The sequence below is a fragment of the Homo sapiens genome, chromosome 2 (assembly GCF_000001405.40).
Source record: "Homo sapiens chromosome 2, GRCh38.p14 Primary Assembly".
Taxonomy (NCBI): Eukaryota; Metazoa; Chordata; class Mammalia; order Primates; family Hominidae; genus Homo; species Homo sapiens.
The window spans coordinates 204,814,488-204,841,159 of record NC_000002.12 but is presented as its reverse complement, the minus strand read 5'-3'; the positions used below and the strand labels follow the sequence as shown (position 1 = coordinate 204,841,159).

Here is a 26,672-nt window from a genome sequence, read left to right as displayed (position 1 = left end):
AAGCAAGCAGAAAACTAAATATTTAACATAAGAAAACCGAGTTGCAGAACAAGCTTCTTTGTGTTGTCCTTGCCAATGTGCTCTTCATGAGCAAAGGTGACTGATCAAATATGACCACTATTTGGGAAAAAGAAAGAAAGAATCAAATTATGTACAGTAGTCTTCCCTTACCCACAGGGGATGTGTTTCCAGACCCCTAGTGGATGCCTGACCCTGGTAATAGCACCAAACCCTATATACACTATGTTTTTTCCTATACTTACATACAATAAAGCTTATCAGTTAGGCAGAATAAGAGACTAACAATGCTAATAATGAAAAAGAATAATTACAGCAATATACTGCAGTAAAAGGTATGTGAAAGTGTTCTTTCTTTCAAAATATCTCATTGTAATGATCTCAACCTACTTTGCGACCGTGGTTGACCATAGGTAACTGAACTGCAGAAGATGAAACCCTGGATGACACTACCGTACTTATCATTGTGGTTAGATAAGACAACCACACGTATTTGCCTCATACAATATACAATTTTGTTATCTTACTGTAGTCAACATCGTGCAAGTTGTTCCAGTTCTATGGAGAGTTGAAAGCTATTGTCTAAGGACCATAGTTAAAAAAAAAAAGGACAAATTCATCTATTTTATTCACTTCTTTTTTAAAATCTATTTTCATGTATTCGTATTAAAGTGGGTAATTTGGGAGGGTAAAACAAAGATTCTGGGTCCCTTTTTACTAGGACTAAAGGAAAGCATGATATTGGAAGTGTAGAGATATTCCCCACTTTCTATTAATTTTATGAAGTAAAACACAGCTTTGGAGTAGAATTTTTCATTAGGTAAAAGTTTTCCTAAAATATTGCTAAGGGTCATTCAATTATTTCTCTACAGCTACCCCAAATAACTTGAATTTGGAAATGCTTCTGATTTTTAAAACTTGCTTCACCCTTAATCTCTGACCCTTCAATTTATATTCAGCTATATTTTTATATGATTTAAAGTATTTCTACTGAGTAACTTCACATGAACTGCTACATTAACTACCTTAATAATATTAAATTGTATAAATTGTATAAGTTTTGACGTAGTGATGGAAAAAGGATGTAAATCCCTTACCTTCCCTCCCTGAATATGTGCTTTTGGGGCTGAGGAAAGAGAAATATACGTAGAGGGAGGGAATACCACTTTTAAGAAAGATATATTAATTATACTTTTAAGTGGCACTAAAATATTTATTGTTAAATGGGACAAGTCTCTTACACATTAAAAGCCGCAGAAACCTAGCCTTACAGACAATGAGAGCTGTCTATTCAAGTTTTTAAACTTCTATGACAAATCTTTTTTCAAAGTATTATCTTGAACAAAAACAGTTGTTCTTCAAAAACCAAATTCTTCATGAAGAATTTGGTTGCCAGTTCATAAGATGATGTTTTTTCTTGCTGATTATACTCAGTTTGTTTGTTTTCCTCCCTGCATTTGTTGTCAAATGCACACACAAAATGAGGCACAAGAGAAAAGGAGGGACATACAGGGAACAGTGGGATGTGGAGAAGAGAAAGATTATACAAATCATCTCTCTCTAAAAGAGTAAATAGAAAGTTAAGAATTTCGAGTGCATGGCCACATCAGATTGAGGCAGGGAGTACATTGAAGAAGTCGCCACAAAGCTGTGGCCAGGCTTAAGGTAAACATTTCTAAAATCAAAATGGAAAATACAGTTAATCAATGGGAAAAGTCTGTTTGGTTTACATATATAATACTTAAGTGTTTTCCTGAAACTACCTTACTAGAAGTAAGAGAATACTTTTACTCAACAAAATGTCTACAAAATGACTTAGAAAATGTAAAATTGATACGATGATATGTGCCTTGCTAACACAACTGACCTTGACCAGAGAAATTTATGCTGCTGTAAAAGCACAGATTTTGTGCCTCCTGATGCCATGAGCTGAATATAAGGAAGCACCGTTTCTCTGATACTCCAAAACACTAACTGTAGCTAATAGAAACCCAGAACAGGGCTGACCTTGTAACATTATGGCAAACAACTCCCTTCTTAAAATCAAATCCTAAATGGAGCCCAGCAGAGATAAATTAACTACAGATTTGGCAAATCAACATCTAGCTTACTTTGGTGTAGCATATGACTTTAACTTCATGGTTAAAATCTCTTTCCTCAACTTATGATCTACACATAGTGAACAGAGGATACCCTAGAACCCTCTTACACAATTTTTACTCAGGGAGCCAGGTTAGGCCCTTTCAACGTCTTGCAATTTTGTTGTTTTTTTAAATTTTTATTTCATTGTGTATTGATACACAATAGATGTACATGTTTTTGGTTACATGTAATAATTTAATACATTCATACTTTTAAAGATCAAATAAGTATAATTGGGATATCCATCATCTCAAATATTTCTCTTTTCTGTATGCTAGAAAGATTCTAATTATTCTCTAATAGCTATGTGAAATATACATTTCCGTAAACTGCAGTCACCCTACTGATTCTATCAAACACTAGGTCTTATTTCTTCTATCACACTGTATATGTGTACCCATAGCTCAAAAATGGCCCTGCACAGCATACCCTTCCATCCTCTGCTTCTTTGAAAGAAAAATTTTATTTGACTCAAAACCTGATGCAGCCAGGCATGGTGGTTCATGTCTGTAATCCCAACAGTTTGGGAGGTAGAGGCAGGTGGATCAACTGAGGTCAGGAGTTTGAGACCAGCCTGGCCAACATGGCAAAACCCCGTCTCTACTAAAGACACACACACACACACACACACACACACACACACACACACATTAGCCAGGTATGGTGGCGGGTGCCTGTAATCCCAGCTACTTGGGAGGCTGAGGTAGGAGAGTCACTGGAACCCAGGAGGTGGAGGTTGCAGTGAGCCGAGATCGTGCCACTGCATTGCAGCCTGGGCGACAGAGTGAGACTCCTTCTCAAAAATAATAATAATAATAACGAAAACAAAACCTGATTCAACCTTGACCTTTTCTGAAAAGCCTCCTCTTGCTCAGCACAAAGTCAGTTTTTAGAATCTTACTGGTTTCATAGCTCTTTGTTGATCACTCTTCTACAGCACTTATTTTACCTGTGTATGTATCTGTCTCTCCCCCCATTATACTGTGAGCTCCTTGATGTTATCATTGTCATCTTGGTAGCCCCAATGCTTAGGGCACAGTGCTCCAGATAGTTCTGCTGAATGAACCAAACTGGGGGTGGGTTGTTGGGGTGAGCCTTAGAAACAAAAGTTAGGTAGGACAAATAGTGGTCTTCAAATATGTGATGGGTTATCTCATAGAGCAAATAGTCTTATCCATTAGAATTCCAGAAAACAACATATGGCCAAGGGCTGGAAATTACAGAGAGGCGGAAATCAGGTGAAAATTCGAAATGATTAGAGCTGCCCAACTAGGGTATGGTCTTTCCTACAGAATAGTGAGCTCCTCATGATCAGACATCAGCAGGGTCTCTTTACAAACTTACTGAGAACCAAATTCATCAACTTACAAAGCTGGATGTATACACTCAGGGAAAGCCCTCTTTAAGAAAGACCAGGCCAGGCATGGTGACACGTGCCTGTAATCCCAGCTATTTGGGAACCAAGGCAGGAGAATTGCTTGAACCCGGGAGGAGGAGGTTGCAGTGAGCCAAGATTGCACCACTGCACTCCAGCCTGGGCAACAGAGTAAGAATCTGTCTCAAAAAAAAAAAAAAAAGTAATTTTTATTTTTTAAGAGAATAAAATCCAAACACTTAAAATCTTGGATCCTTTATGTCAATGAAATAAAACTCAGTTATTTAAAAATGGTAAACTAAATGCATTAATTTCTAACATGTCCCTAGATTTTTAGAAGACACGGGCTCTTGTAAAAAGTATACTTTGAACTACGTACTGTCTAAGAGATAAAGAGGAAAAGCTAAGATTTTTATATAGTCTTAGTATTTATGAAAACTTACTAGATAACGTCATTGTTATTACTAGAATGTATGTTGCAAGATAATAATTCACGTGAAAGTATGACACATCAGGGGGTCCAATCATACCCCACTGGATGTTAATTAAACGCCTCATGTTACCGAAGGTGAACTATCTCATTGGGTATCAAAAGTGTGATTTTAAAAACAGGAGGGATACTGTTTCTGTAGAGGCCTTGCATTTCAAAAGACATAATGTTTTTGCATTTGTAAGTGTTTTTAGTTCTATATAGCATGTAAAAACTCATTTTTATAACACTTTTATAATAAAATACATGATCACTGTAGAAAATATCTAAAATAAAAACAACCATAAAGGAAAAAACTCACCCACAATCCTACCTCTCAGAAATAAGAGTTTCCCTTTGTATTTTCTTCATGTCTTCATACAAGCAAATCCACATGCACACTCACATACATACTCACTTATCCACACCTACACGATTTTTTTTGCTCTATAGTATAATCGAAAGGTATTTTATTTTATCATTATTATTTTTTCGGAGATGGAGTCTCACTCTGTCACCTAGGCTGGAGTGCAGTGGCACGATCTTGGCGCACCAACTTCCGCCTCCTGGGTTCAAGCGATTCTGCTGCCTCAGCCTCCTGAATAGCTGGGATTACAGGCATGAACCACCACACCCAGCTAATTTTTGTATTTTTAGTAGAGACGGGGTTTTGCCATGTTGCCCAGGGTGGTCTCAAACTCCTGAGCTCTGGCAATTCACGTGCCTTGGCCTCCCAAAGTGCTAGGATTACAAGCCTGAGCCACCATGCCCAGCCAATTTAAAGGTACTTTTAGAAATCCATATAATCATTTTACCTATTTTGTATGTTTATGAATTTATGTATCTAATTATATTTCTGATTTACTTGTAGAGATGTAAAATTCTTATTTCTGAGATAAAAAAAATTCTCCTGTAAAACATTATAGAATGAATCCACAAGTTATATCTCCCTTGATAAATGCAATAGTATCTATATACTTAATTTTCCCACACAAGCCTGAGACTATTTTTATGTCAATGGAAGAAAATCAGACAAAGTTGCCCACGAAGCTAAAACCTAACACTTCATTCATGTTGAAAGCTAATTTCAGACTACATCGAAACATGCATCCTTCACTTCATGTTCATAGTTTGATAGTTTTTAACAATTTTTTTAAATGGGGTGTCAATAAATGGAGTACAGATGCTCCTTGACTTACTATCTTGATAATCCACTGTAAGTCAAAATGCATTTAATATACCTAACATACAGAACACGCCATAGCTTAGCCTAGCCTAGCCTAGCCTAAACATGCTTGGAACACTTACATAAGCCTGCAGTTGGACACAATCATTTAACACAAAACCTATTTTATAATGAAGTCTTGAACAACTCACATGTGAGGATCACGCCACATATTCCTAGCCTGGGAAAAGATGAAAATTCAAATCTGGAAGTGTGGTTTCTACTGAATAGGTACTGCTTTCACACCAGCATAAGTCAAAAAATCTCAAGTCAAACCATTTTAAGTTGGGGACCATCTGTATTTTATTTCAAAATTGAACTGGTATTCATATCTTAGATCAATAAACCACCCTTTCCAACCATCAAACTGCTTTCCCAATACAAGTTTGGGGAAGGGAGTGGCAAACGGAGCAGGGGATAAAGACAGGAAGGGTAGGTAAGAGAAGAGAGGCATAAGGAGAGGGGAGGAGAGGTAAGGAGGGGCAGGGAGGGATCAATGGAACAAGAAATGGAACGTCAGATAGAAACCATACTCATGTTTCAAGGTCCAGGTTAAATGCTATTTCTTCCCCAAAAATGCTTCAGTGATATCTCAGTAAGGAGTCTTCTTCCCCACATCTATAAATTCCCAAAGTATGTGGCATTGTGATAATTTCTGCATCAAGACACATTTCTTAGCATGCATCTCATCTACCCAGTGGAACGTGAGCTTGTCCAGATCAGAGGACTGGGTGTAGCACCCTTATCTGCACAAAGTGCATTAAGCGCATTACTTAGAGACAGATATATACATGACTCCACAGAGCTCATTTCAGCACTGCATCCAGTTCTCCAAGAGCTTTCCTGTAATTATCTTATTTGATACATGCAAGAATCCTGCAGGGTACCATTTCATTAACAAAATCACCCTCAGTGAGGTTAAGTGACTTGTACCAGGTCTAATGAACAAGGTAAGTGGTGACACTAGGACTCAAATCCAGGTGTTCTAGCTCTAAACCTAGTGCTTTTTCAACCACATCACACTATTGCAATCAACAGGGTACTTAGAATCAGGACTAAAAACAATTACTCATCAATTCATGAAATGCAGGTGCCTTTTTCAGCCCATCGCTGACACAGTAAAAGTGATTTGATCACTTTTGGTTTAATAAACACTCTGCTGCTGAACTATGGGAGGATAGGGGTAGAAGAAATTTCCTCTCCCTTTGCTAAGCTCTAACTCCTATTTTCCTTTTGCCAGCTACAGTCTATTAATTCTCAAAATGGCTCTCCCATTGTGGAACTGTATTCCTCTTAATCAACTGTTTTGATCTCCTAGTGAGGATAATAATTAATAAACATATACATGCTACTCTAAAATCTCATTATTTTAAAATATATTTCTGCTTATATTTTTGTAATGCCCAGAAATACATAATACTACCTTCACCTAAAGATATTTTGCTCAATACCATTATAATGTAGCTCCTCTACAGGATTCTAACTTGTTTTGGCAGACATTTGCTTCAATTATTCAATCATGTAAAACTGACAAATTACTTCTATTTCCAGTGATTATCACAATCATATTCTTATTACTTCCTCTTCCATCCAAACACCAATATATATTTATGTATTGAGTCTGTATTCTGTGCTGGGCACTATGTGTACAGCAAGGAACAAAATTGACACATTTGTTCATGAAGAGAACAGACCAGCTGAGGAAACACATAAAGCAAATATTCACAAATAAATACATAAAAACAATCAGAGATACCACAAAGGAAAACAATGTTATAAATTATAAGTGCAGAGAGAGCTGGTTTAGTTGGAAAGGTCAAGAAATGCCAAGGTAGTTCCTAAAAAAAAAATATTGCATATGAGAGCAGAAGGGTGTCATCCCAGGTGAAGAATGGGGACCAGTTGAAGTAGTTGCAACATTCCTGCCATGGGAGTTTGTTGGGCTGGAAGAAACGAAGACAGGCTTCTGCGATTGTGGCATGGGAGCAGGGGAAGAATGGCAGGGATGAATTTGGAGAGGTAGGTGGGGCTGGGACACTCCGGGCTTGTGGGTCACGTTAACGGCCCTGGACTTTATTTCAAGCAAATGGTAAGACACTGAAAAGGTATACTAGTCAGTTCTCACACTGCTAACAAAGACATACCTGAGGCTGGGTGTTTATAAAGAAAAAGAGATCTAATGGACTCACAGTTCCACGTGGCTGGGGAGGCCCCACAATCATGGCGGAAGGCAAAAGGCATGTCTTACATGCTGGCAGACGAGACAGAACTTGTGCAGGGAAACTCCCCTTTATAAAACCATCAGATCTCTTGAGACTTATTTACTATCAGGAGAACAGCACAGGAAAGACCCACACCCATGATTCAACTACCTCCCACCAGGTCCCTTCCAGGAAACATGGGAATTGTGGGAGCTCCAATTCAAGATAAGAATTGGGTGGGGACACAGCCAAACCATATCGAAGGGTTTCAATCAGAAGGGGCATAAGTCAAGAGATGTCTGGGTTAAATTAAACCACCACCAATATTGATCTGGGAAGCAGAGTCTTTACAGGGAGTTCTGGCTCTGCTGTGTTAACAGTCAAGAAATGTGGGGCTACTCTTTAATGTCTCTTTACCTTTTTTTCAATGGTGTGAGAAAAACAAAGGGTTATCTAAACGTTTCCCCAGCTATAACATTCAAAGATGCCAGTGAATACTGACAAACACTTTAAATGCTGAATACTTGGACTCCAAGATTTATCTATAGTGTGGTGTCCATTTTTGCAAGATGAAATTGCTGATGATGACACCATAATAAGGCATGCAATTTGCATTCGCCATTTTTCACAATAAATGAAATCACTGTTAGGTAACGAGCTAGAGTTTCAGGGTATTTTCAATGTTATAAATTTTCTTCTGTATGTTTAACTGCCTGCTTAGAACAACGCTTTTTCTTTTATTACAATAATAATGCTACCTTACATCTGTACAGTTCTTGAGTTTCAAAGCATATTCGTTCTTTAATGATAGGGACCAGGCGTTCATTTTCTCTTTATAGTGCCCAGCATACCGTGCTATGTAAGTAAGAACTATAGTTGTTTTTTTCTATTTTTTAAGACAATTAATACCTATCAGTTGGAGGTGTCGTTGAATAGGAAATGCACTACTACACTGAGGGAGAGAAAAACCCACAATACTTCCAGAACACAACTACGCTTCAGCCACAGCCCTATCTGAGACCTAAAGAGGTTCCTCACTACTCAAGCCCAGCGTACCCATCACAGCCAAGAATCTACTGGCTCTTGCAGATTCCACTCACCTTGTCTCCCATGCCAGTCTTCTCTTATGTCCACTGCACCTCCTTCTGCACAGCTGTTCCTAAGTATGGCATGATTTGCCACACCCTTTTGCTTTATCCAGCTGTTCTTTCAGTGTTGCATGTTCACTGTCTCACAGTGTCAAGTTCAGTGGCTTAAACATGAACATGCTACAGACCGAGAAGGTATACACCATGCGATGATTCAATGTTCCTTCACTTTTCTATATGTCAATGATTATTTCATTCTTGTCCATACAGAAAAAAAATCAACTACTATAGCACTGATTTTAAACAGAAAAGCAAGCATGAACGCAAAAATCTTGAGGAAGTACACTAAAAAATCATCCAGTTGGTCCAGAATATGATAGCTTTTTTTTTTGTTTTTGTTTGTTTGTTTGTTTTTTGAGACAGAGTCTCGCTCAGTCGCCCAGACTGGAGTGCAGTGGCGTGATCTCAGCTCACTGCAAGCTCTGCCTCCCAGGTTCATGCCATTCTCCTGCCTCAGCCTCCCCACTAGCTGGGACTACAGGCGCCCACCACCATGCCTGACTAATTTTGTTTTTGTATTTTTAGTAGAAATGGGGTTTCACCGTGTTAGCCAGGATGCTCTCGATCTCCTGACCTCATGATCCGCCCATCTCGGCCTCCCAAAGTGCTGGGATTACAGGCGTGGATATCTATTTTTTAAGGTGAATAAAATAACTGAACATTCTACTTGTGGCCCTCCCAGTTAGTATCTGCATATACTCAGGAGTTCATATACCCATTGTCACAAACTCTGTTCAGTAATTCATTTATATTGTATAAAAAAAAATCTGGAAGCTTTTCTCATAAAACTCATACATTCCTGTTGTTTGCAATAGTCCCCTTTCAAATAGGAATATCCTATTAGTGCAAAGTAGGAACTATTAATACAAAAGAAACAACTACGAGAAGGGTTTTGTCTAAAAGGCAATTCATTCTTTAGATGCCAAATATATACAAAAATAAACCAAGTAAATTCAATAGATCTGGTTTGGGAGTGGAAAAAATTCTGTTTCTCTCTAACTGTAACCAAACTCAGTTCTCATGTATCTTAGGAACATTACCATCTTCTACTTTTTCTCTAGACTTGATTTTAACGTTTCTGCTAAGCAGTGCTTAAGTAAGAGCAGTTTTATTTCTGAACATAAGTTATTAAAACAATGAAATGTCTTTCTTTATGGTGGCTTCTAATTAAGACATGTGGATTGAGTTTCTGCAAGTTTTTATATAAGCGTGATATTTAAAGAATGTTGTCCTCATTTTTAGATGCAGTAATAAGAAATTGTACTTCTTTTCCAATTACGTGTAATGGCCACCTAGGTCACTTCTCAAATGCTTTTGATCTCAGCAATGCAGCTAAAAGAGTAAAATTACATTTCCCTTTGAAGTTCTGCTTCCTACTCCTAATTTTTCTATTCATAGAAAAGTTCAAGCAAAAAATTTAAATAACATAGTATCTAAGAAAACAAAGCTATTAAGCTAAATTTTAGCAATAAAGAAGAGTTCAGACAACAGAATTTAGTTACTTTTATAGGTGAAGCCTATTATTTATTCAATTAATAAAAATATAAGCATTCAATTTACTCAGTTATTTAGATAATAAAAGGAGATATCATTTTATAGTATAATAGGTACATGCCAGCAATGATAGTTGGGATTAAATTCTTTATTCTAAAGCACATTTGCTTACCAAATCTAAATCAGAAAATGTACTTTACACATATATCAGAGACCTAATGGGACAATGATCTTCTGAATAAGTGTTCTCCTCCCTTGGGCTAAATTCCCTTCTCTCTAACTACAGAGTACCCATGGTCTTCTATTCCCTAAAGATTGGAACAGAAAGTTCCTCCAAGCTGGACAGCTGTTATCATAGGAACTGGTCTCATTCCCACGTCAGAGACAGTGATAGGAGAGAATAGAGAGTTCCCTAATCTTCTTTCCCTTTGAAGGAAACAAACTTGGTCTGCTTGGTCTTATAGCATTTCTTAGTCTGAATCTTTAAGTAACAATGGCAGGGTTCAAATTCCAGTTCATTAAAATAGTTTCTTAGAAAATATACATGCCAGGTGTCCATACATTAATCTTCTTCACTATATAAACATTATGCTAATTTTCCTCAATTCTCCTCTCCTACAATTGTAAGATCACATCAAATGAATTCCTGAAGGTATCTTAATATAGCTAAATAGCACAAATAATTTTAGAATATTTTCAGCATCAGCCCTATGAGCAAGGTATTACTTAAACAACTCTAACAGCAATCCACCACTGAAAGCTGATTTTTGGCCAACGGCAGGCCTTCTACTTGGGACCAAATCTAGAAAGACTTTTGGAGAGGGATCTGGTAAATCCAGTTATCCTATGTATTAGTGCATTCTCACATTGCTATAAAGAACTACTGAGACTGGGTAATTTATAAAGAAAAAAGGTTTAACTGACTTACGGTTCCACAGGCTACACAGCAGGCATGGCTGGGAAGTCAGGAAACTTACAATCATGGTAGAAAGGCAAAGAGGAAGGAAGCACTTCTTCACATGGTGGCAGGAGAGAGAGCACACTAAGGGAGAAGTGCTACACATTTTTTTTTTTTTTTTTTTTTTTTTTGAGACGGAGTCTCGCTCTGTCGCCCAGGCTGGAGTGCAGTGGCGCGATCTCGGCTCACTGCAAGCTCCGCCTCCCGGGTTCACGCCATTCTCCTGCCTCAGCCTCCCAAGTAGCTGGGACTACAGGCGCCCACTACCACGCCCAGCTAATTTTTTGTATTTTTAGTAGAGACGGGGTTTCACCGTGTTAGCCAGGATGGTCTTGATCTCCTGACCTCGTGATCCGCCCACCTCGGCCTCCCAAAGTGCTGGGATTACAGGCGTGAGCCACCGCGCCCGGCCAGTGCTACACATTTTTAAACAACCACATCTTGCGAGAACTCACTCACTATCACTAGAACAGCAAGGGAGAAATCCACCCCTCTGATCTAATCACCTCCTACCAGGTCCCTCTGCCAACACTGGGGATTACAATTCAACATGAGATTTGGGTGGGGACACCAAGCCAAACCGTATCATCCTAGGATCCTTCTCTCACTTTATTTACTAACATATTAATGGCTACCTCCTATGTCATTGAGTTTGATGAAAAGAAAATGCCCTCTCTCCTAAGAGCTTACTGAATTAGGGAGACAAAGTACAAGATTTGAACTCTGAAGATCAAACTGGGATCCCAGTCATAACTTTCTATTGAAGAAAGCTGATTAAAGTTGCTAGGACTCAGTCTTCTCATTTAAAATTGGGATAATGCCACTTTACATGAAGACAAAATAAGACAGTAAGAATAAGCAAGTTCCTAGCACATAATAGTCATTCAGTAAATGTTGGTTAACTATGAACTTATAGAATTTACAATAGGCTATGTGCACTTTTAGTATTCCTTACATTGCTGCTATAACATATAGCTCACTTCTCAATATAAGTACATATTCACAGTTATGTTTCAGAACAAGATCAGTCAGGATTTTGTCTTACAGGTGGTTACCAAACTTCAATGAAACAGTTACATGATATAACACAGTTTACAGCACTATCCATAAGACTTGGAGGGAACAGGTGACCATGGACCTTGAAGTCAGGAAAGACTTCATGCAGAAGGCTGGAATGCACAGGCCCTTATATTTTACAAAAGTCTCAAAGAGATGTTCTGTAAGGAAGCTGATCTGTGGGTCTAGAATTTTAAGTTTCATATTCCATGATAAGGATTTTCAATTTGACCCTGCAGACAATGGAGAGCCAAAAGGATTTGGGGCAAAAGAGTAGCTAACTCTTTGATGAGGCTAGTATTAATTTGGTCATACTATGCAAAAGAGATTGAATCAAGAAATAAAGAAAGATCAAAGATTAATCTTCCTCAGATTAGAACTAAAGAATAAATTAAAAATCAGGATATAAAGATATTTTGGAGATAAACCAGGGGAATGGTATTTCTAAATGGAAATATCTTCTTGGTTAGGCAGGGGCACAGAGCAGGCACTTAAGTGAAAGGAGATAGTGGTATGACACTAATCAGCAGAGACGTAAGTAAAGTTTTGAGACACAAACAATTCCCCGGACTATGGTATAAAAAAGGCTCTCAAGTCTAGCTGCGAATAAGAATTACTTACGGAGCTTTTAATATTTGACTATGCTTGGGGCCTCACCTCAGAGGCTGTGATCATAGCCAGGGTTGAGAATCACTGGAGCAGAGAAAGAACACAGGGCAAAAACTGAGCCTCAGGGAACTCCCAGAACAAGGTCAGAAAAGGAGATTGAAAGGAAGCAAATTTTACAGAAGTAGAAGGAAAGGGAAGAAAATGAAATATGGCAGAATTCAAGAGAAGAGGAAATTTCAAGAAAGAATGAACATCAAAAACAATAGCAATTGCTGCTTAGAGGTTAACTGTGATGCATCAGAAATAAGGCATGGCTCCCAATACGTGCTCAGTAGATACCTATTCAACAAATGAGTGCTGAGGAAATGACATTCTTCCTTTGTAGTTCAGATGCACTACATTTTACGCTCTACACTGGACCGGGGCAGATGGTGTCCCCTGGGTTGAACTGGATTGATTAGGCTAATCTTTGAGTTACAACCGCCCACCTCCCAGATTCTATTTTGAATAAGATCATAAAACTGGGCTTCTGGCAGAGAAGAGAATGAAACAGCTTTCCAAGTGAAAAACTGATTCATTCATTCAGCCAGTCATCCAGTCAGATATTTATGCATCTATTCATTCAGCAGCCATTTACTCCAGGGAACGAAGATAGCACTTCAAAACTTAATCTTGAAGCCACATGATTTGCATTAATTTGCATATAATTTTAATCTATTTCAAAACTGTAGTAAAGCACATTTAACATGCATTTTTTGAAGTGCTTGGAATTTATCTTGACAGATTTTCGAGCAAAAGCATATTTTTATTGTGACCAGATTACTTTTTCCTAATACCTACCACTGTTCTTCCACATGTCAACTTCATTAGAATTTAGTTTTGTTATCCTAAAAGTGTTAGACTAATGGGTACTTTGAAAATTATCACATTAATATTCTTAATGCAAATTTCAACTTTAAAGTCATTCATTAACAAAAGAGAAGGCCAGATCTCTTTAAGCATGAACTATCTTTCCTAGTTCTGTAACTATCACTGCCATTTATACAAAAGTTTTAAAGGAAACCAATTAAATTAATATTTTCATGTAATACATGAACAAATCCTCACCTCTGTCACTAGCTTCTTTCCCTATTATAAAAAGTTCTCCAAGTATTGTAATTTCATGCATTTCTATCACTATACTGATTTGCAAAAACTTATAAATAAATAAAGTAGGATGTTGCCAATGCTGGATTGCTAACACTGGTTCAATACACAATATTTCAATAACTGTTAATATGGATTGTTGCTTTATTCAAATTTTACACAAATAATGACAGTCACATTTTCTAGTTTTTATTTTCTGAGCAAATATAAACACATAAGATCAACCACTAGAAAACTCAATGAGCTTCACATTGTAGAACAAGAACGAAAACCTATGAGAATATAGATTTTTTTTGGAAGAGACAGAGTCTTGCTCTGTCACCCAGGCTAAAGTGCAGTGGCATGATCATAGCTCACTACAGCCTTCAACTCCTGGGCTTAAGTGATCCTCCTGCCTCAGCCTCCAGAGTAGCTAGGACTATAGGCACATACCACCATGACTGGCTAATATTTTTAATTTTTGTAGAGAAAGAGTCTTGCTATGTTGCCCAGGCTGGTCTCCCACTCTTGGCCTCAAGCCATCCTCCCACCTCAGCCTCCCAAAGTGCTTGGATTACAAGCATGAGCCACCATGCCCAGCCGAGAATGCAACTTTCAAGTAAACAAAAACAAAATGAAAGATGTGATACTACTTTTTGTTTTCACATATATATGTGGAAATAAAAATATTTTTAAAAATTCAACCTATTTCCAGAGAAAAGATACTATCTATCAATCAGCAATTTTTTGGATAGCTATCATAAGTAACTTTTTAACATGTTGGTTAGAAAAGTAACAATAAATATCTGAATATCTTTATGTAAATTATTGTGGTAGTCCATAGATACATAAAAACAGACTCATTTTTTGCCCCTAGGAAATCACAGGGCAATGAATTGTGCCCTACTGAATAGAATTAAAATCCAACTTATCCCAATTTGACAGCTTAGAATCCCTGTCTCTACCAAGTGCTGGAGAAGAACAATGGCGGCAATTGGTCCTATCCTGAGTCAATAGTTCACTCTGAGTATTAAGTCCCAAACAACAGTACCTCTGCTCCATTATAAGAGCACGCAGCACTAGCTATGGAGGTACAACTCCTGGAAACCTCAGACAGAGACCTAATCAAGTATGATAAGAGATAAGGGTCAGCTCCTTTTGCCCCCAAACTATATAATACTTTTCAAGGTTATTATAAGACTGTAAAGGTAATTTCAGAGGCTCCTCTCCTCCCTCTTTTCCTCTCAAATTAAATTTCTCATTTGACTTATCATGCCTGGAATTTCCTCAGAAAAAGCAATAAAAGTGGAAGTGGAGTCACTTTGGAGACTCCCGTGCAGTGGGAGTGAGTCTACGAAGGAGGTTGAGCCTTTAGGATCATCACACAGCCAATCTCAGGCTAAGGTATATAAGATACTGTGAAAAAGGGAAGTGATTCAACAACCAAAACAACGAAAATCTAGGTAGAGTAGGAGCCAAGACTTCACAAGAATTGAAGAAACCAATTACTCTATACACAACAGCTGCATTTCTGCATCCTCAGCTGGATTAGGATGAGATGAAGACAGGGCCTTTTTCAAGAACTCGCTCCATTGAAGCTCACTGTAACTTCAGTGGATAATTACTGGGAAACTATATATAGGAGAATCGAATTTAGAATTTCACCTAACTTGGTGCTTGACTCATGTGGTGGCCACTCTCCAATGCCAGATCCTCAGGTAAGAATAAAGTTTTCTGTTTAGTCTTCACTGAAAATATTGCTGCTATGTGCAATGAAAGAGCTCGCAAAGAAGTTGTAGCCTAGTCATGCTAATGACTGACAAAGCTCCTATGAAGAAAGTCGGCTGTGGCAAACCTATATCCCCAAGGCACAAATACATATGAATGACCTCAAATCCTGCAAGCACTGTCCCTATTTGCCTTCATCTAGGAGACTGTCAAAAGAACTGCTCCAAGCTGTGCAACATTTGCCTCCCACTGTGTGCTTCCCAATTCTACCATCACTTCCTCTAGAGAGCCACACTTTCTCCTTCTAGAGATCCTGAACTCTCCCTGGGGACATTATAATTAGTGTGCTATTCAATGGCCCAGGTTCCTTCAGATGATGAGTAAGAAAGCTGGAATGCAAATCAACTGCTTTCATGCTTGACGCACTGACTACACGAACAGATAACAGCTAGATCATATATGACAGTAGAACTCTGACCCATATGCTCTGCAATAATCAGCTCAGAACAGTCAGGACTTGGACAATGACTGTTTGCTTCTCTAATTTTTTGCCCCAGGTTCCAACTCAGGACCAACCAGGAAAAAAAACATATGCTCCCTAAACCAATCAAATTAGATGCCTCACTTCTAGTTAGCCTGCTCCAGCTTCACCATGCAGCAACCACCAATGAGAACACATACGCCGCCCAGAGCATGTGATGGTGGCTCACTCCTTTGCTACAGCCAGCTCTGAATAAAAAGCCTCTGTTCCCCTTAGGTGGGCCAGCGTCTTCATTTATTTCTATAAGCTCAAAACCTGATTGTAGGAATGTTCACAGCCTCAGCATTAGAAGCCTTGGAAGTGGGAAACTAAATAGAAATATATTTACAAAATTTCAAAATAAGTGGGAAATTAGAACTGGGAGGACTAGGAAATGGCATGTCTAGATTCCACACTAGTCTTTACTTAAATATTTGGGAAAAGCTACTCTCTCCCTGGCCTCCTTTTCATCACTCATAAAATGAAGTGGGAAGAAGACTATGTGATGGAGAAGTTCTGGCAGCTCTATTTTCTCAATGTGCCAGTCCGGAAGCATATGATGTACTCAAATAGAGATAGTTCAAGGAGGGCTTAATATAGGGACTATGCCAACAAGGTAATAAGCAGTACACCAGAGCTAGGAGCCACTGAGCTATTCCTAAAGAAGCAAGAAGATGCAAGTGTTCCCAGAACTAGCAAGCAGAGAGATGGAGAAAGGGCTACCTTAGTTTGAGCTGTGATCTTTGGTAGAAGGATACAGCCAGCCTATTTATTGCAGCTGTGCAGAGGCTCCAAGATAAAAATAATATATTTTCACTCTCCTCTCCTCTCCAGTGTACTTGTAGGATTCTCCATTGGCCAAATGCAATTGGAAGCCAGAGGATAACATATCAGTCCCTGGGTGTACAGATGAGAGCAGAGAGTGACAGACAGCTGGTTTGGAGGGGAAAGGAAAGATATCTGACAACTTGATGCCTTGAAACCTTGCACTGTTCTTGCTCACTGTGCTTTCATCTGGAGCTCAGATTATTAGAGAAGTGCTTTATCTTCAGAACTCCCACCCCTAACTTCCTTCCTCCTCTTATAGCTGTTTCATTTTTATTATTTCTCCCTTTTAACTCTTGCTACCCTCAATGTATTTTTTTTTTTTTTGAGACTGAGTCTCACTTTGGTGCCTAGGCTGGAGTGCAGAGGTGTGATCTCGGCTCACTGCAACCTCTGCCTCCTGGACTCAAGCGATTCTCCTGCCTCAGCCTCCCAAGTAGCTGGGATTATAGGCATGTGCCACCATGCCTGAATAATTTTTGTATTATTAGTAGAGAAACGGTTTCACCATACTGGTCCAGCTGGTCTTGAACTCCTGACCTCAGGTGATCTAACCGCCTTGGCCTTCCAAAGTGCTGGGATTACAGGCTTGAGCAACTGTGCCCAGCCACCCCCAATGTAGTTCTATATTTTTCTGATATTAATAAGGAAATAAGTATCAGTGCCAATAAGCAGAATACAGCTCCCCAGTATGCATCCACAAGCATCTCAATAAGCAGTACCTAGGGCCTCATACTATTTCTTACCCTGTATGAATTATACTTATGTATGTAGCCAGTAGCCTATAAAAACCATGAAGGCAGAATTGTTACCTTTCATCTCCATATTTACCATAGTACATGTAATACATAAATGACACTCATTTTTTAATAAAATAATATATATTATTTTATTGAAAATGAGAGCATTATTTTATTGAAAATAATGTAATATATAAATGGCACTCATGTTTTCAATAAAATAATAGTACATGTAATATATAAATGACACTTATTTTTTCAATAAAATAATAAGTGGCAGTCCATAACAGTTCCTAAATATTTCACCATAACACACACCCTTTTTCTTTGTTCTTTCACTAACCCCAGAAATCTTTATGTTGACAATCAATCAGTTAAAGTAAGAGCACAAGATAACCAACTGTCCTATAACAAATCTGCAAGACCCGTCATTCTGCAGCACAGGAACACAGGTAAATACAAGACTACCTTGTATTTCCAGAGGGAAAGCTGGCTGTGGGAAATGATGAGCAACTTGAAGTGTCCCCCAAACTTTCAAACCTGATTAGTGCCATTCCTTAGGAAGAAGATGAGGATCCCAAAAGCAAGAAAGAGAGCAGATGAAGCTAAAGAGAAGAGTTTAACAATATGTAGCTAATCAATACTTTTACCTTAAAAATGGGGAAAGTTAATATTTTCAAAAAATTATTTCAAATAAGCAGCTCCACTGTGACACAAAGATTCTCTCAAAGGCCATCTAAGTGCCTAAATATTTTGTCTTCAATCAAAGAAGTAAGTAGGAAAAATATGTTCCACATTTCACAGCATGGGACACCTTTTAATGAGCTGTTTTCCCCATTTCTTTGCTCTCAGTATTTACTCAGTATCATTAACAGGGAAAGATGGGTGGTGTGGCATTCATTCCAAATTACCTGTGCTGCACAGGTACCTAAGAGAAATTACACAACAATTTAAGAAAGATGTTTATTATACAAATAGATACAAAATGAATTAAATCTATTTTTTATTTGAACCTTAAAGTCCTTTTATGTAGTGCTTGTATTTTGTTTCAACATAAACTGATAACTGCCAAAATAAAGCTAAACTCAGTTTATGAAATATTCTAAATCCTGCGTTGTCATTTCAACAATGTTCATAGCATCTTCACCAGGCCTAGATCTCACCTGAAGAAACCACTTTCTTTTCTCATCCAGAAGAAGCAATTCCTCATCCACTATAGTTTCATCATAAGATTGCAGCAATTCAGTCACATCTTCAAACTCCATTTCTAATTCTAGTTCTCTTGCTATTTCTACCACATCTGCAGTTACTTCCTCCACTGAAGTCTTGAACCTCTCAAAGTCACCCAGGAGGGTTAGAATCAACTTCTTCCAAACTCCTGTTAATGTTGGTATTTTGACTTCTTGCTGTGAATCATGGATGTTCTTAACGGCATCTAGAATGGTGAATCCTTTCCAGAAGGTTTCAATTTACATTGCCAAGTTAAGGAATCACTATCTATGGCAGCTTTGGCCTTATGAAATGTATTTCCCAAATAATAAGACTTGAAAGTCAAAATTACTGCTGATCCATGGACTGCAGAATAGATGTTATGTTAGTGCATTAGTTTGTTTTCACGCTGCTGATAAAGACAAACCTGAGACTGGGAAGAAAAAGAGGTTTAATGGACTTACAGTTCCACATGGCTGGGGTGGCCTCACAATCATGGTGGAAGGCAAGAAGAAGCTAGTCACGTCTCACATGGATGGTGGCAGGCAAAGACAGAGAGCTTGTGCAGGGAAATGCCCATTTCTATTTTTTTTATTTTTTTTTAATTTTTTTTATTTTATTATTATTATACTTTAAGTTTTAGGGTACATGTGTACAATGTGCAGGTTAGTTACATATGTATACATGTGCCATGCTAGTGTGCTGCTCCCATTAACTTGTCATTTAGCATTAGGTGTATCTCCTAAAGCTATCCCTCCCCCCACCCCACAACAGTCCCGAGAGTGTGATGTTCCCCTTCCTGTGTCCATGCGTTCTCATTGTTCAATTCCCACCTATGAGTGAGAATATGCGGTGTTTGGTTTTTTGTTCTTGCTATAGTTTACTGAGAATGATGATTTCCAATTTCATCCATGTCCCTACAAAGGACATGAACTCATCATTTTTTATGGCTGCATAGTATTCCATGGTGTATGTTTGCCACATTTTCTTAATCCAGTCTATCATTGTTGGACATTTGGGTTGGTTCCCATTTTTAAAACTATCAGATCTCCTGGGACTTATTCACTATCAAAGAGAACAGCATGGGAAAGACCTGCCCCCATGAGTCAGTTGTTTCCCACCAGGTCCCTCCCACAACATGTGGGAATTATGGGACCTACAAGATGAGATTTGGGACACAGAGCCAAAACATATCAGTTACCATACATGAAAACAACATTACTCTCCTAATGTATATCTCCATTAGAACTTCTGGACGACAAAGTGCATTGTCAATGAATAGTAATATTTTGAAAGGAATCTGGTTTCTGAGCAGTAGGTCTCAACAGTAAGCTGAAAATAATCAGTAAACCATGCTGTAAACAGGGGTGTTAGCATCCAGGCTTTGCTATTTTATTTACAGAACACAGATATGGTAAATTTAGTATAATTCTTAAGAGTCCTAGGATTTTAGAAACGGTAAATGAGCAGTGGCTTTTTGTTTGTTTTTGTTTTTGTTTTTGAGACAAGAGTCTCACTCTATCACCCAGGCTGGAGTGCAGTGGCACCATCTTGGCTCAGTGAAACCCCTGCCTCCTGAGTTTTAAGTGATTCTCCTGCCTCAGCCTCCCAAGTAGCTTGGATTATAGGCACCCACCACCACATCTGGCTAATTTTTGTATTTTTAGTAGAGATGAGGTTTCACCATGTTGGCCAGGCTGGTCTTGAACTCCTGACCTCAAGTGATCTGCCTGCCTCAGCCCCCCAAAGTGCTGGGATTACAGGTGTAAGCCCCCATGCCCAACCAGCTTCCTCTTAAAGTCACCTGCTGCATTAATCCCTAACAAGAGAGTCAGCCTGTCCTTCGAAACCAGGGATTGACTTCTCTCTGGCTATCAGAGTCCTAGGTGACATCTTCCTCCAATAGAGAGCTGTTTTGTCTACATAAAAATCTGTTGTTTAGGATGGGCATGGTGGCTCACGCCTGTAATCCCAGCACTTTGGGAGGCCAAGGGGGGTGGATCACTTAAGGTCGGGAGTTCAAGACCAGCCTGACAAACATGGTGAAATCCAGTCTCTACTAAAAACATATAAAATTAATTGGGCATGGTGGTGTACGCCTGTTATCCCAGCTGCTTGGGAGGCTGAGGCAGGAGAATCACTTGAACCCGGGAGGTAGAGGTTGCAGTAAGCTGAGATTGCACCATTGCACCGCAGCCTGGGCAATAAGAGTGACACTCCGTCTCAAAAAAAAAAAAAAAAAAAAAGTCTATTGTTTAATGTAGCCACCTTCATCTATTATTTTAGGTAGATCTTGCAGACAACTTGCTGCAGCTTCTGCAACAGTACTTGCTGTTTCACCCTGGACTGTGATGTTATGGAGATGGCCTCTTTCCTTAAACTCTATGAACCAACCCTCTGCTAGCTTCCAACTTTTCTTCTGCAGCTTCCTCACCTCTTCTCAGCCTTCGTTAAACTGAAGAGAGTCAGGGCCTTGCTCTGGATTTGACTTAAGAGTATGTTGTGACTGGTTTTATTTTCTATCTAGACTACTCAACCTTCTCCATATCACCAATGAGGCTGTTTTGCTTGCCTTTCATTCATGTGTTTACTGTAAGAGTCTTTTTAATTTCCTTCGAGAACTTTATCTATGCATATCTTGGCTGTTTGGTGCAACAGGTTTAGCTTTTGGGCCTATCTTAGCTTTCAACCTGTCTTCCTCACTAAGCTTAATCATTTTTAGCTTTTGATTTAAAGTGAGAGATGTATGACTCTTCCTTTCATTTGAACACATAGACATTCTTGTAGAGTCATCAATTGGCCTAAGTATATTATCATTGTGTCTCAAGGAAGAGAGAGGCCTAAGGAGAGAGAAGACAGGAGAACAGTTGACTGGTGGAGTAGTCAGAACACATGCACTTATTAAGTTTGCTGCCTTATAAAGGCACTGTTTGTAATGCCTAAAAGAATTACAGTAGTAACACCAAAGATAACTGATCACAGATCACCGTAACAAATATGATAATGAAAAGGTTTGAAACATGGCAAGAATAACCAAAATGTTACACAGAGTGACATGTGAAGCAAGCACATGCTGTTGGACAAATGGCACTGACAGGCTTGCTTGAGACAGGGTTGCCGCAAACCTTCAATTTGCAAAAAAACACAATATCTACAATGTGCAGTAATGCAAGGCACAATAAAATGAAGAATTTCTGTATGTATACGTAAATACTTATAGATATGTATGTATATATGTGTATGTGTGTGTATCTCCAACTGTATCTATATTAAGCTAAACATGAGTTCATGCTGATGTCTCTAGCTCTAATCCACCACCACATGGATCATCTTAGTCTCCCCATATGCTTGTCTATACCTTCTCACTCTAGCTTACTTAACATGTTCCAAAACGCACTTCAACATACTCTCCCATGAAAATGGCAACATCTGAAAAAAGTGTTTGATCTTCCATTTAATAGTTCAATCCACACCTATAATACATACGTTCTAAACTATAACAAGATATTGTCAATAGGAGATACTAATAAAAAGTTCCTTTTTCTTTATGATACTTCCTAGTCTAAGTTAGCACAAGTATATGTCTTAGCTGAGGCTGAAATGTTCAACCTCCACTGATATTTCTCTTAGGGCAAGTTATAATTGGATGGCACACCTATTAACTCAACTTCATTCTGATAATTATTTAATAATTTTCCTCACATTTCTTTTTATGACTGCATTTATAATAGCATTAATATATGCAATGATAACATTTTGAGACACATAAACTCCTTAAAATTGTAATTACTGTATGACGATCCCACAGGAATTACTGAAACTACACTAACATATTTAAGATCAATATAAAAATAGTACTTTATTCTAGATCTCTATCAAGCTCAATGATTCTACAACCCCTATTTTAGAAAGAAGCAAATAGTTTACATTAATAAACACCTTATATCTTCAAAATGTAAAATCAGTGTGAATAATTAATATCTACTTTCATTTGTTCTCATAACCTGATTAAACTAACATTTCTACTTACTCCTGTGAGAACTGAGGATTATAGGTGAACAACACATAAGACTCTCAAGATCATGCATTTCTTAAATATTACTAGTTAATTCTTGTAATTCTACTTTTTGGATTCATAATCACTTGAAAGAAGTCATTCCATAAACTATCCAAGAATCTGCTGAATGCTAAAGCAGATGTCTGTCTGTCTGGTGGAACTATTCTCACCAGTAGAGAGTATGTCATTAGGATATACCAGCACTGATAAATAAAGAGGGACAGTTTGGGCGTATGCCTTTATAAATAAATTTCTCCCTTAAGAAATACTCCAAGTAAACTTTCCTTCTGGCCTAGAGGAAGGAGAAGAGACCAGATATTTAATCTGCTTGCCTGAAAAAAAGTTTTTTCCACCAAAAAACAGAATATACAAGTTTTCAAGATACCTATCAAGCAAAAAAGGATAATGATCCTTGAGACAGAAGAAACAAACACGGTGAGCTCTATTAACTGCTTCAGCTTACTGCCTACAAAGTTTCCTGTCTGTAGATTAGGAAGAAAAAGCCATTGTGAAAAACTAGCAGACTTCCTATATTCAAGTGATGAAGCTGAGAGTTTGAAGAGTCCAAAGCAGCTACATTTCATAGGAAGGATGAGAGGGCTGCACAAAGAAATAACTCCAGAGATCTGCAGAGGGTCCCCTGCAGCTGAGTATTATTCAACACATACCTATTAGAAAACTACTTGAATGGATTAAACATAATAGTGTTAACATGCACACAAGACCGAGGAGTGCTTCTTCCCAAAAGGAACACTGAAATGCTCAAGATTCACAGAGAACTGGGCAGAGTACACAGAAGGGTATTGGCTCAGTAGTGGGTAGTTACATGTAGACTGATCATTGCTCTGGTCCCACCTAACAACATTTAAATTAAGGTCTAAAAGGATTAAACTGTTTCTAATAAATCTAGCTGTGTCTCAGAAATATGATCTAGGACCTTTATAGGAATAAAAATAATATCCAGTGCCCAATAAGGTAATAGTCTGGCAACCAAAAAAAAAAAATTCCTAGATGTGCCAAGAATCTGTAAAACATGATTCATAATAAAGAGATAAAGGAATCAATCAAAACTGACGCAGAACTCACAAAAATGTGAGAATTAGTAGACAAGGACATTAAAACAGTTATTACAAATAATCTGTAAGTTCAAAAACTCAAATATAGATATGTAATATATAAAAAGAGCCCAACAAACTTCTAGAGATAAAAACTACAATGTGTTGGATGAAAAATGCACTGGGTGGAATGAACAGCAGGTTAGACATTGTAGAAGGAAAAGATGAGTGAGCCTAGACATAGCAATAGAAATCATATGAAACAAAAAGAGGGAATAAACAATTTTAAAAATTGAAAATACAATCTGTAGGCTGTGGGGCAGCTTAAAGGAGCTGAATACACATGTAATTGTTCTCTAAAAGAGAGGGGGAAGAGAAAAATATTCTAAAAGTAATGAAAAAATGTTTTAAATTTTATTAAAACTATAAAATCACAGATCCAGGAAGCTCAATGTACTCCAAGTATAAGACCCATAAAACTATATGGGGATACAACATAATCAAATCATTTAAAATCAGTGGTAAAAAAAAAATAATCTTAAAAGGAGCCAGGAAAAACAGACATTTTTTTGCAGAGGAACAAAGGTAAGAATGGCAGCACATTTCTCTTTAGTAATAGCACAAGTGAGAAAATACTGTAGTAATATCTTTAAAGTAATAAAAGAAAAATAATTGTTAACCTGTAATTCTATATCCAACCCAAAAGTTTTTCAAAGACAAAGATGAAATAAAGACATTACAAAACATATAGAAGCTGCAAAAATGTATCACCAGAAGACCAGCATTAAAAGAAATGTTAAAGTTCTTCAGGCAGAAGAAAAATGAAACCAGATAGAAAAACGTATCTACACAAAGAAGAAGAGCATCGGATTTGGTAAGACATAGGCAAATACTTTTAAATTACTTAAATATATTTAAAAGATAATTCATTATTTAAACATAAATAATAGTAATGTTGTTTGACGTTTATAACATGCTAAAAGTAATACGTACGACAACAATAGCACAATGATCAGAAGGACAGAAACTGAAACATGCTATTACAAGGTTCTTATACTGTATGTAAAGTGCTTTAATATCACTTAAAGGTAGATTTTCATAAGCTACAGATGAGAGTATAAATCTTACAGCAACCACTAACATAGTAAAACCCTTATCACAATATTTGATTCAACAAACAAAAAATCATCAAAAAAAGTAATCTACTCAAGATAGCACACCTGAAAAACATTATCAACCAATGTAACCGAATTGGTATCTATCAAACAATGTGTCCAACGATAGCAGAATATGTACGTCTCAACAGACTGAAAGCATTCATGTCACACAAGCATGTTCCCTGACCAGAACAGAATTAAATTAGAAATCAGTAACAAAACATCTCCAGAAAAATTTAAATGTCTGGGAAAAATACACTTCTGAATAATTCAGGGTCAATGAAGAAATCAAAAGGAAAATTAGAAAGTACTTTGTACAGAGTGAAAATTAAAACAAAGCATATCAAAGTCAGTGGGATGCTGCTAAAGCAGCACTTAGAAGGAAACTAATAGCACAGAATAAATGCCTATATTAGATAAGAGGAAAGGTCTCAAAATCAATGACCTCTTCACAAAGAAGAGGAAATTGAATGGCAAAGTTAGCAGCAAAATGGAAATGGTAAAGAACAGAGTGGAAATCAATGAACTAGAAAGCAGAAATAATACAGAAAATAAATTAAAACAAAAGCTAGTTGAGAATTTTTTTAAAAGAATAAACCTCTAGGCAGATTGATCATGAATACAAAAGAGAAGACACAAATTCGGACAAAAATTACCAATAACAGGAATGACAGATAATATTATGACAGAGTCTATACATAATACAAGGATAAGGGAATACTTTGAACAACTTTATGCCAATAAATTCAACAACTTAGGTTAAGTGCAAATATTTATTGAAAGATAAAAACTACCAATGCTCATTCATCAAGTGAGCTCATTAACCTGAATAATCCCATATATATTAAAGTAATTGAATTTGTTTTTTAAAGCATTTTTATAACCCAAACACCAGGCCTAAATAATTAAGGAATAGATATTAATTCTACATCAACTATTCCAGAAAAGTATATGAGAAAATAAGTCAAGACTCATTCTATGAGGCCAGCATTAAATTACCCTGACAATCATACAGAAACATTACAGAAACAGAAAATTATGAGAATAGATGAAAAATCCTGAACAAAATTTTAGCAAGTCAAATCCAATAATACATAGAAAATATAATGTGACTAAGTGGAACTTATTACAATTTTACTTGTACTGAAGGATGATTTAACATTCAAAAATTAATTGATGTAACTCACCATATTAACAAAAAAGAAAAACCATATAACCATCTCACTAAGAGCAGAAAATAGCTTTTGATATCTCCAATATTCATCCTGCTCTTAAAAATAACAAGACAGAAGAGAACAACCCTCAGCATACTAGAAACAGAAGGAAACTGGAAAAAGGGATCCATGAAAAGCCTATAGCTAATATTTTACTCAACGGTGAAATATTGAATGTTTTCACCCTAACATCAGAAACTAAACAAGGATTTCACTCTCACCACTTCTCTTCCACATTGTGCTGGACATCCTAGCCAATGAAATAAGGTAAGTTAAAAAAATGAAACTCATTTGAGATTAGAAAGGAAAAAATATAACTCTTTACTCCTAGAGGACCAGGGAATCTA

The 26,672-nt window shown here is 37.5% G+C and overlaps 1 protein-coding gene across 12 annotated transcripts in view, besides 1 other annotated feature; it reads right to left on the bottom strand.

The window, feature by feature from the left end:
- The window catches only part of PARD3B (par-3 family cell polarity regulator beta), a 1,074,688-nt gene that overhangs the window by 779,003 nt on the left and 269,013 nt on the right, over positions 1–26,672 (bottom strand). The gene's annotated exons all lie outside the window — the stretch shown is intronic.
- Positions 15,457–16,050: an enhancer, noted in NCBI's record as "NANOG hESC enhancer chr2:205689833-205690426 (GRCh37/hg19 assembly coordinates)". NCBI's record gives its function as "activates a minimal SCP1, AML or CMV promoter by ChIP-STARR-seq in naive H9 embryonic stem cells {active_cell/tissue: H9 hESC(naive)}" and the evidence as "EXISTENCE:reporter gene assay evidence [ECO:0000049][PMID:30033119]".